Genomic DNA, 12,735 nt, shown 5'->3' with positions numbered 1-12,735 from the left:
AATAAGAAAAAGAATTAGGCAAACAGGATCTCTTTTGGCCAAATGATCTGACAATGGCCAAATACTCTTGTCATTACTGAATAATAATAACTCAGATCTTGAAGTAGTCTACATTCCAAAGATTAAAAATCTACAGCATAGGAGATAATATAACAATCAGAGATTTCAACAGGCAAATAAAATATCTGGCAGAGAAAAGGAAATTAGATACTCTAACTCTGACAGCCGGGTTTTTTCTTTTTATGATTTTTCCATAAGGATTCACCCAATCATTGGAGCTTTTAAGAGTTCTTCCTCCCCTTCAGATGCACTTATTTTGTATTAAAAATTGAAAAAACAATAAAGAAATTCCCTTAGGAAGGAATAGTAAGACCACTGCTATAGAGCAGAAAAATATTTACTAACATATACTTTATTACAATCATGTTTTCCCTAAGAAATTTCTATATTTGCTTTCCTCACAGTCTTTTGCTTCAAATTCTTAACAATGGAAACCATCTTGAAATTGACTTTGGAATTCAAAACACACATGGCAAGTGTCAAAGAATGGTCAATAAAATAGAACAAAGCAAAGTAAAACAAAAGAGGTGTTTAAACTGTATAGATAACTTATGAAATGTAGATAACATGGAAGGGAAAGGAAGACAGATCTGAGAAGGGAAAAAGCTAATTTACACCACAGACACCTCCCAGCTTGCCCCAGGGCAATCCTAAAATTATGGGTGGAACATTTTGGTGCTGGCACTGAAAATGGATGGAATCTACTTCCGATAAGATTCTTTGGCATAAATCTCCGTCCTGGTGCCACAACTGACCATTTCTCACTGTTTAATGTCCTTAGAAAGCTTCTTTGCAAGGCAATATGCACGTTCATATCTGTATCCAATCTGATCTCCACCCTGTGAGGAAGACAAGCCTTCATTACACCTCAATTTTAGGAACCTCTCTCTGAAGTAGTCCTCTTTCCTACGAAAATGCCAATTCCCTTTCTCACTGTCCATCTTCTTGGATCTTCTCTTTTCTTGCCTTCTGTTGGAAGAATTCTTCTGGTGCAAGGAAAGGGAAGTTGGTGCCAAAGCTGAAGGTCAAGTTACTGAGCATTTCTGAGCTTAGGAGAAAGGATACAACGTTGTTTTTCTCAATCTATGGTTCCGAGAACAGTTCCATAAATGACAGCAATCAAATTCGAGTCTGAAGTTATTTCTATAATGTATACTATGACTAAAGAATCTCCAACTAAACTGTCTTTTCATAATCAAAGTAATAACGTCTTTTCCCATTACCTTTACTGTTGGATGGCTTCCTCTCAGACCTACTCTCAGGGTGGCCCTTCTGGTTGAGGGGAAGGGTAGTTGGCCTAACTTGACCCTCAGCCCTGGTAGTGCAGTGGTTCTCACACTTTAGCGTCCGTAAGAATCACCTTGAAAAGCTTGTTAAAAATTCAGAGCCCTGGATCCCATACCCAAGGAATCTGATTCAGAAGGTCTGGTATGGGACCTAGGAACCTTTTAATATAGTTACCTAATATAATTTCAATGTTTGTGGTCTACAAAACATACTTTGAGAAACACCATTATAATGGTTAAGAACATGGGTTTTTAAAACCAAGACTCACCTGCCTCTGATTTAATCAAGACTACTTCTTCTAATTATTAACTGTGTCACTATGAGCAAATTTATTTTATCAATTTGAGTCTCCCTTTCCTCATCTATATGAAGATAATGATAACACATCCACCTATGTGAGGGTTAAATGAGAAAAGACATACAAGATGATTGGTAGAGTACTTGCCACATGGTAATTATTAATAAAAGTTTTAGTCAAGTTATTGTATTTAGCATTATTAACAATAGTTTCAAAAGCACCTTTTCTAATCAAGGCCTTCTGAATCTAGTTGGTTTTGTTTCTTCAAGAACTTATATTAATTAGATGCCCAGTTACATTATTCAAGTTACTCTCATTCACATCTAAGTGATCCATGTTTTTCATGATAACTTGCTCAAAATTGGAGTGGTATATCAAAAGGAAGCCCCAAGATGAAATTAATGACATACAATCTCTCACCGCAATTCTTGGCAAAACTGCAAACTGGGAGACTAGATTTCGCTGCTCTACCAATTTCTGTCATTCCTTACATTCCATAATCCTCACATATGAATGTCCCAACTGACTGAAAAAAATGGCTAAAAACTCAGAAGCAATTCATTTTGGTCATAACTTTTTCATTGCCAATTTCCCACAGATTTAGTGTATCTAATGACAAGACTTGAAGTTCTATGTGTTTTTTGTTATCTCAAGATTGATTACATTGTTTCACATATGTATGTGTATATATATGTATGTATATATGTAATATTTATCTTTTTTATTTCTGTATTTTTACACAGCGGATACTCAATAATTTTGACAGGTTTGTAAAGAAATTGTGTTTAGGTGGGATCTTAGAAGCACCGATGTATTATCTTCAATCATATAAAGTTATGTGAGATAAATATTTGTACAAAGAATTGACTCCTTGTTACAGCTTCTAATTATTCCTATGCAGCATTCATGCAAAGCTTTTGGAGTAGCAAATGACTTCCATTAAAATTATCAGCTCACCAAGAAAAAAGCTATAGAGCTTGCAAAGTCCTCCTGGCTGGAATAATGTATTTGCCACTGACAAAGCCAAATAGCAACTTACGCTGTAGCAAAATAATTAAAATGGAGTTCTTGCCATAGTGTAGGTGTTCAATGCATATCTGTTAAATGAATGAATGAATGTACAAACAATGGCTACCTATATACACATCAAGTGTAAGCATATTATTAAGTTCTGGGATACACGTGCAGGATGTGCAGGTTTGTTACACAGGTAAACGTGTGCCATGGTGGTTTGCCACACCTACCGACTCATCACCTAGGTATTAAGCCCTGCATGCATTAGCTATTTATCCTGATGTTCTCCCTCCCATCACCTCCCCTGACAGGCACCAGGGTGTGTGGTTCCCCGCCCTGTGTCTTTGTGTTCTCATTGTTCAGCTCCCACTTATAAGTGAGAACATGTGGTGTTTGGCTTTTTGTTCCGGCATTAGTTTGCTGAGGATAATGGCTTCCAGCTTCACCCATGTCCCTGCAAAGGACATGATCTCATTCTTGTTATGGCTGCAAAGTATTCCATGTACCATATTTTCTTTATCCAGTCTATCATAGATGGGTATTTAGGTTGATTCCATGTCTTTGTAAGCACATTATTTTACCTTAAAAAAACACAACTAAATACAAGCAAGTTTCCAATTCAAACTCAGAGTCTACCTAATTCCTACAGATTGCTACACTAATAACTGAAATTTAAATTACTTTTGGTTAATTTTACCTTAGTAAATTAAAGAACAATCTTCCTTTTATATGATATGTGAAATATTAAGCATCTCAGTAAAGAATATGTAGCTTGAGAAAACTTAATATATAACTCTAACGTGAAGTCAGATGTGCTCCTAAAAGACAGAGGTCCATTAAAAGTGGTAAAAATCATTTTTATTTTCATGTATAAAATCAAAAGATATAAAACATTACTTTTCCTCTATGCCAAAATTCAACAAAATAGTACTCTTTCTAGAAAACTCATGCCTACTAAGACCAACCGTATTTTTAGGACTTTGATTAAACATTAAAGTAGAGCTCACTTTGGTTTTAGCTCTATTGAATACAACTTTGCTTCACAAGTCTATTACTTTCATCTACCTTATATAACTTTATGAAAGTTATATATTTTTCCTATTTTCAACATAGAGTAACTTGGAAAAAACAAGCAACATAATCAATTCAAAGGATTTATATTTTGCTGTTTGAATTATAAGAGGTATGAATAGAAAAAATGGAAGAGGTTGAGAATGACTGTTTAAGATCAAAAAAATGTTTATATATTTTTAGATATTGATACCTAGGCCTTTACTTTCTCCAAACTAATAATTACGTCAAAGATTTTATAACTCTACTAGAGCATCATATCATTACAATTTCTGCATTGAGTGCACAATAAATATTTTTTAAATGACAGGCAAAGAAGCATTTGTGCTTTTTAGGGGAAAGTTATTGTCGTAAGAGCTTTTTCTTACTGACTTTTAATGCAGAGGTTGAAATTCTCCCTAAAGCTTTCAAAAAAAGCAAGTAGAATATATACCTACCAGTAATTAAATTTATGTTTTACTATGAAAAATCAGAGATTTTCTTCCGTTTTTTCAGAAAGTTCAAAATGGAGATGGCTTAATCAAGTCATGAGTTGAAATCTAGTTGCCCAGAGAAGCCAAAGGAAAAGATAATTGCTAAAGTTAAGATTTAAAATGTATCTAAATTAAGGATATTAAGCTGTATTTTAGTTGTTTAGCATATATGTACACCTACTAATCCAATGTTTTATGGGAGAAAGATCTACACAATCACAATCAAACAATAAAGCTTTCAGGACAAATGAACTGTCTATAGTTAATGCTGAGAAGACACTACTGAGTTTGCATATAACTCAAATTTGTGTTAATTAGTAAGCCACTAAACTATTTTTCTGCCTCTTTTTATTCCCTAGGTCAACTTCTGGATATGCAAATACTTATGAGAGCTCCTAGCACAATTAATTTTTTTAAAAAAATAGAGCTATTCTGGAGAAAAGATCTTGTTAGTTATGAGAAAGTGATGTTGAAAAAAGTATTTGCAGTATCTTCCTTCTGGACTCCCACCACCATCATGACATCACTGCCACCTATGCCATCACAGAGACTCTGTATTAGCACAATAACAGAAGTACAGACTTACATCTGCATTGTATGTTACCATTTATAGAATACTCTCACATACATTATCTTGCTTAATCCTCATGAATGAACAAATGAATGAATGTTCATTCCTTGTTAGGTTACCACAGCAAGCATTATTAGCCCCAAGTAGATAATGTAACTACCCAAGTACATAATAGAGCTGGATAATTACACAAGTCTCCTGGTACCTAATAAGTGACTTTTCCCTTATTAGGGAAAAAAGTATAAAAGTATTACTTTTATACTTTATAGTATAAAGTAAAAACTTTATACTATATTCAAGTACTGTAAGTAATATATTCAAATACCTTCATGTGGTTACCTTCATTTATAGTGAGATGTTACCTGATTCAGAGAAAATAATTTATCATGTATTTACAGTAACAATATATTATTTTAGGACACAGTGGTCACCAACTAAAGTGTACAGTGTTTGATTAGCAGATTCAAAGTCAGAGTATAGAGAGATACATGGAATATGTGCAAGGATCAACACAACGCTGTACTCACAGATGGAGAGACAAATGCACAGAAAAAAGAATGAAACTATGTGACACTATCTTAACCAGCTACAGTATGCTGAAATATAAGGGGCACTAGAACACTGGAATGACAAGCTACATATCAATTATAAAATATGTGTAGCCTGACAGAATTTAGGAAAGAGTAAAAAGTATTCATTTTGCTGACTAACAATTCAAGAACACATTGAGCAGGAGACCATAATTGGTAGGGAGACATATACTGCAGCAATAAGACACACTTGCCTTAGCTTCCTCTCTCGTTGGAGCTTCTCCAAAAGATCTACATGCTAACATGTCTCTAAGTTGAACTGTAGAGCTGTCTCATTTTTGTTCCAGATGAAAATACAGTACCTATTTTTTCCAGTAGGAAAAGCAGTGTATACTCATTGTGAAAAAATTTAAAACACAAGAACAAACATACAATGTACAAATGAAAGTTCCCCATAATCCCAACTCCATAGATACAACCACTGTACAGCTTGATTCATATTTTCTAAACTTTTTCACCAGTCTGTGAAAATATATATATATACATGAAATATATATATTTCATGTATAAATATATTTACAGTATATATCAATAGGAGCCCATATTATATGCTATGGTCTTGTTTGTGTTTCCCCAAAATTAATACGTTGAAATCTAATCCCTGATGTGATATATTAGGAGGTGTGGCCTTTGGGAGATGATTAGGTCATGAGGGCACTGTTCAGGATTAGTGCCCATTAAAAGAGACCCAAGAGAGCTAACTTGTCCCCTCACCGTGTGAGGATGCAGTGAGAAGGTGCCATCTGAGAAAGTGGGTCCTTACCAGACACCATTGGCACCTTGATCTAGGATTTCCAAGCCTCCAGAACTGCGAGAAATAAATTTCTGTTGCTTATGTTACCCAGTTTAAGGTATTTTGTTATAGCAGCTCAAGAGAACTAAGGCATTAAAATAAACTGCTTTAAATAGTAAATAGTAATAATATATTTAAAAACCCAAATGAAATCATACCATGCATAGTATTCTACAACTATGTTTTAAAATCTCTTAATTACTTATTTTTATTTTTTCTTTATTTTTTCTTTTTTTGACTGCAAGCTCATCCTTAAACAACTTATTTTTTAACATTACAGATTCCCTAATTCCAAGGGTAATTCTTTTTCCAGCTGCATTTGATTTAGAAAGAGAAATTTCATTTACTATATGATAAAAATGGAATACTCCATTTTTGAGACTGCAGACTTATTTTCATCTATAAATAGAAAAAAAGTAAAAAAACCATCTTCATGACAAAAAAGGAGGTTTTTCTTTTTCTTTTTTTTTGAGACAGAGTCTCGCACTGTCACCCAGGCTGGAGTGCAGTGGCACAATCTCAGCTCACTGCAAGCTCCGCCTCCCAGGTTCATGCCATTCTCCTGCCTCAGCCTCCCAAGTAGCTGGGACTACAGGTGCCTGCCACCACGCCCGGCTAATAATGTTTTGTATTTTTAGTAGAGATGGGGTTTCACCGTGTTAGCCAGGATGGTCTCGATCTCCTGACCTCGTGATCTACCTGCCTCAGCCTCCCAAAGTGCTGGGATTACAGGCTGTGAGCCACCGTGTTCAGCCTTTTTTTTTTTTTTTTTTTTCGAGATGGGGGTCTCCCTCTGCCACCCAGGCTAGAGTGCAGTGATGTGACTATGGCCACTGCAGTCTCAATGCCAACATGCCTGGCGTATTTTTTGTATTTTTTGTAGATGTGGGATTTCGCCATGTTGCCCAGTCTGGAAAAAAGGGGTATTTTGGCTAACTGTATCTAAATCTAGTACTCAAATAAAAAAATCTGATTGATGATTTAATCTGTCATATGTCTGGAGGGAAATCTGTAATAAAACTTTGGCCAGGCAATCTCATTTCTAGTAATTTATCTTAAAGAAATAATTAAGAACATGTTCAAAGATTTAGTTTCAAGGATATTCATGGTAATGCTGTTTATAATAGTGAAAAAACTGGAAGTAATCTAAATGCCCATCAACAAAGAATTGGTTAAATACATTATGGCATGTTTAATTGATGGACTACTATAACAGTTAAAAAATAATTTTATAGGAATGTATTTATTGACTTGAAAATATTTTCATATTAACTGAAGATACAGGGTTACAAAACTATACTTATATTTTTAAAGTAGTTAAACATGTATCTATCATATGATCCAGCCATTTTATTCCCAAGTATTCAACCAAGAGAAAAGAAATCATATGTTTATAAATGGATTTGTATGTGAATATTTACAGCAACTTTATTTGTAATAGCCAGAAACTGAAAACTACCAAAATATTCATCAACAGGTGAATGGATAAACAAATTGTGGCAAATGCACACAAGAGACAACAACTCAGCAATAAAAAGGAATGAATCACAGATACAAGCATCACCATGGATGAATCTCGAAAAGTTATGCTGAGTGAAAGAAACCAGACAAAATTAAGAATATACATTATGTGATTCTATTTCTATTAAATTCTAGAATATACAAGCTAATCTATGTACAGCTGTAGTGACAGAAAACAGATCAGTGGTTGCCCGGGGGTGAGGGGATAAGAAGGAGCAGGCAGGAGGGAAAGATGAAAAAGGGACATTGAGGAAACTTAGGGGTGGTGGACACATTCACTGTCTTGATTGTGGTGATGGCTTCATGGGTTAATACATATGCCATAAGTGTTCAAGTTGAATACTTTATTTTATTTATTTATTTATTTAGAAAGGAGTTTCACTCTTGTTGCCCAGGCTGGAGTGCAATGGTGCAATCTCAGCTCACTGCAACCTCTGCCTCCTGGGTTCAAGCGATTCTCCTGCTTCAGCCTCCCAAGTAGCTGGGATTACAGGCATGCGCCACCACACCTAGCTAATTTTGTATTTTTAGTAGAGATGCGGTTTCACTATATTGGTCAGGCTGGTCTCAAACTCCTGACCTGAGGAGATCCACCCACCTTGGCCTCCCAAAATGCTGGGATTACAGGCATGAGCCACCATGCCCGGCCAAGCTGAGTACTTTAAATGCATAGTTTATTGTATGTCAATCATACCTCAATAAAGCTGTAAAATATACACATACACTCATGTGCGCGCACATGCACTAAAACTATACTTAATGCTATCATCACACTGCTTTTGTTTGAAATATAAAACACAAATGAAAGTGTCTAAAACATAAATGTGCAGTTTAGTGAATTATTATAAATACCTACATAACCACCATGAAGGTCAAGAAATAAAAAATTACCAGAACTCCAGAAGCACCTCCCCCATACTTCCCTTTCTAATCACAACTTCCTCCCTCTCGCCCCCACAGGGAGTCCTATTCTGATTTTATGGTAGTTGCTTCTTTGTCTTTTTTTTTTTTCTTGCTCTTGTTGCCCAGGCTAGGGCGCAATGGCATCATCTCGGCTCATTGCAACCTCCGCCTCCTGGGTTCAAGTGATTCTCCTCCCTTAGCCTCTCAAGTAGCTGGGATTACAGGCATGCGCCACCATGCCTGGCTAATGTTTTTAGTAGAGATTTGGTTTCTCCACGTTGGTCAGGCTGGTCTCGAACTCCCAACCTCAGGTGATCCACCCACCTTGGCCTCCCAAAGTGCTGGGATTACAGGCATAAGCCACTGTGCCTGGCCTGTTTTTTGTTTTTTAAAAGTAATTTTACTACGCACATAGTCCTAAACTACATACCTTAGTTTTGGATTTTACATACATAGAAGGTATTCTTCTGTGTCTGCTTTCCTTCCCTCAACAATATGTTTTTACGAGTCATTCACATTGAGTGTAGTACACTGGCTTTTGTTGCTGTATTGTATGACTATACTACAAAGTATTGAGCCATTCTACTGTTGATGGACATTTTGTTGTTTCCAGTTTTGAACTATTGAAAATAACACTGCTATGAATGTTCTTTTAGGTGCATCTGGCTTATATGTACATGAAATAGGGTAAAACTTCAGGGTCATAGGATATATTTGCTTTTCATTTTACTTAATAATTTATATGTCACCAGTAGTATGTAAGAGTACCTGTTGATCCATATCCATGTGTTATCTCCACAGCACTTGTTGCTACCTGAAATTTTCTTGCTTATGTTTACTTGTTTAACATCTTCCCTCAGTCTCTATTATACCTCCATGAGAGCTGGGAGTTGGCCTGACTTGTCCCCTGCTCTACTCTTTGCACATGAACAGTGACTGAAACAATGCTTGACACTCGACAGGCTCTGAACAAGTATTTGTTGAATTACTAGAAGAATAAATGAAAATCCCAGCCCATTAGTAACTTCAGCCAGGAGTTTAGCAGAAGGACAACTGCGTTACTCAGTGACTCAAAAAATGCTTATGTTATATATAAAAAATGGATACATAATAACTTATATATGAGATTCCAACTATGGAAACCTATGTATATATATGTGAAGAATAAAGAGCTTTTAAGTGTGTTAGTTTAAAAACTTGCAAATCAAATTCCTCATACAACGTGGCAGCAAAACTTCATAACAGTTTCTGAGCTTTTTAGTTTTCCTCTTCTTCAGATTCCTTTGTTTTGCAGTATGAGACATACTGTATGTTTAGAATATAAGATGAGAAATAAACTAACAGGTAACTGTAGCAGTTACATTACAAGCAAATTTAAATTTTCCAAAACTAGTAATGATAATAAAGCTTAAGCAGTTGAAAGGTGGGATGCAGTCACTCAGAAAACGAGATACGTGCCTGTGGCTGTATTTTACGGCCACAATTTTTTCAAATTTTACATTTGAAAAAAACCTTTTTTTTTAAATGTAAAAAAAGTTTCCTTTGGCTTTACTCCTTTCAGGAAAATAAGGATTTCGGATTTCTCTTTCTTTTCTTTTTTCTTTCTTTCTTTTTTTTTTTTTTTTTGAGATGGAGTCTCGCTCTGTCGCCAGGCTGGAGTGCAGTGGCGTGATCTCGGCTCACCACAACCTCCGCCTCCTGGGTTCAAGTGATTCTCCTGCCTCAGCCTCCCAAGTAGCTGGGACTACTGGCACAAGTCACCATGCCCGGCTAATTTTTTTTGTATTTTTAGTAGAGATGGGGTTTCACTATGTTGGCCAGGCTGTTCTCGGACTCCTGACCTCGTGATCCGCTCGCCTCAGCCTTCCAAAATGCTGGGATTACAGGTGTTAGCCACCACGCCTGGCCTCTTTTCTTTCTTTCTTTTTTTTGAGATAGGGTCCCACTCTGTCACCCCAACTGGAGTGCAGTGGCACAATCACAGCTCACTGTAGCCTCGACCTCCTGGGCTCAAGTGATCCTCCCACCTAAGCCTCATGAGTAGCTGGGGCTACAGCTGCACAGCACCATGCCTAGCTAATTCTAAAACGCCCAATGAACAGTTCTTTTTTTTTTTTTTGTCACCCAGGCTTGAGTGCAATGGTGTGATCTTGGCTCACTGCAACCTCTGCCTCCCAGGTCCAAGGGATTTTCCTGCCTCTCAGCCTCCTGAGTAGCTGGGAGTACAGGCGCGCACCACCATGCCCAGCTAATTTTTGTATTTTTAGTAGAGACGGGGTTTCACCATGTTGGCCAGGCTGGTCTTGAACTCTTAACCTCAGGTGATCTGCCAGTCTCGGCCTCCCAAAATGTTGGGATTACAGGCGTGAGCCACCGTGCCCAGCCTATACATTTGCAATGATTGCCTGTCTACTCTACATTTTCAAATATAATTAACTTTTTTTTTTTTAAGTTCTGGGATACAATGGCAGAACGTACAGGTTTGTTACATAGGTATACGTGTGCCATGGTGGTTTGCTGCATTTATCAACCCATCATCTAGGTTTTAAGCCCTGCATGCATTAGCTATTTGTCCTGATACTCTCCCTCCCCTCGCCCCCAACCTTCCAACAGGCCCTGGTGTGTGTTGTTCCCTTCCCTAAAATATAATAAATTTTTAAAGCAAAACAAATCCTACTCATCATTTAGTTACTTAATGCCTAGGATGTGCAAAAGCACTTTACTAGGGGTTGAGGATATAGTAAATGAATAAGAAATAGATCCTGCCCTCAAGAAAATCACAGTGGGTTGAAGAAAGATACATAAACCAATAATAATAGTACTTTACAATAGACAAAACCATGAGAATGAAAGAAAGGCCTCTTTTAACTAGCGGACAGATGAGAAGGTTTCACAAATAAAGTGAAATCTGAACTGAGCTATAAAAAAAACGAAGAAATTTTGCCTGGTGAAAATAAGGGTGAGGGAATTATAGAGTTGCAACAATAAGAATATATATTTGGTCTTTGTCTCCACTTCCAAACAGAGAGCTTCTAAAACCTATGGTATTCCTAAGTGACAGGAATATCTTTTGTTACTTGTAACAAGCCCCTTTCAACCACACTAGAGTTTATGCTAATGAGGTGACTAGTGGTGAGTCCCCAGACACTTCAGGATGGACACTGGTTGCTAGAGGAACCAACCATGTGACTAGCGGGTTGGTACCTTCAGTTCCACCTCTGGGAATCTAGAGAGGGGATGGGGGTTGGAGATTGAGTTAATCATCAAAGGCCAATGATGTACTCAATCATGCCTATGTAATGAGACCTCCATAAATACCCCACAGACAGGTTTTGGAGAGGTTCCAAGTTGTTGAACACACTGAGGTGCTGGGAGGGTGGCATCCCAGAGGCATGGAAGCTCTGCCCTCCCCCTATACCTTGCTCTATGTATTTCTTCCGTTTGGCTGTTTCTGAGTTGTATTCTTTATAATAAACCAGTGCATGTAAGTAAACTGTTTTCCTAGGTTCTGTGAGACGTGCTAGCAAATTATAGAACCTGAGTAGAGAGTCATGGGAATTCCCAACTTTGTAGTCAAGTGGGACGGAAGGTGTGGGTAACCTGGAAACCTGCTACTTGCAACTGGCCTCTGATGTGAGGGCAGTCTTGTGGGAATGAGCCCTTAAACCTATCACATCTGAGGCTAGCTCTGCGTAGTTAGTATCAGAATTGAAATGAATTCTAGGACACTCAGTTGGTACTGGAAAATTGGTTGGTGTGGAGGGAGCCCCTCCACCCTCCGCATTTGGTGTCAGAAGTGCTGGGAGTGAAAAACCGTTCAGAAGGGTGATGGCAAAAGTGTAGGAAAACATGGAGCATTCCAAGAACAGGGCAACCAAACTGACCTGAGGAAAGTGAAAGAAGAGATTAACATTTACTAAGTCTGGTACTGTAGTACCAGAAATTTTAGTTTACCTTATTCATACATCAACTATTTTACAAATGAGAACCTGAGACTCAGAAAAGGTAAGCGACTCTTCCAAAGTTACTTATGCACACAGTTAAATAATGGCTGAGCTGGGACAAGAATCCCAGTCTGTGATTCCAAAGCCCATTGTCTCTCATACGGTACACATAGGGAATAACAGGAAATGAAATTGGAAAAAAGAGCTAGG

At 37.2% G+C, this 12,735-nt stretch overlaps 1 protein-coding gene across 2 annotated transcripts in view; it reads right to left on the bottom strand.

Moving 5' to 3' along the window:
• The window catches only part of SIK2 (salt inducible kinase 2), a 128,407-nt gene that overhangs the window by 76,361 nt on the left and 39,311 nt on the right, over positions 1 to 12,735 (bottom strand). The window lies entirely within an intron of this gene.

This window comes from Homo sapiens, chromosome 11, assembly GCF_000001405.40.
Source record: "Homo sapiens chromosome 11, GRCh38.p14 Primary Assembly".
NCBI classification, from domain to species: Eukaryota; Metazoa; Chordata; class Mammalia; order Primates; family Hominidae; genus Homo; species Homo sapiens.
This window is presented reverse-complemented; position numbering and strand designations above follow the sequence as displayed.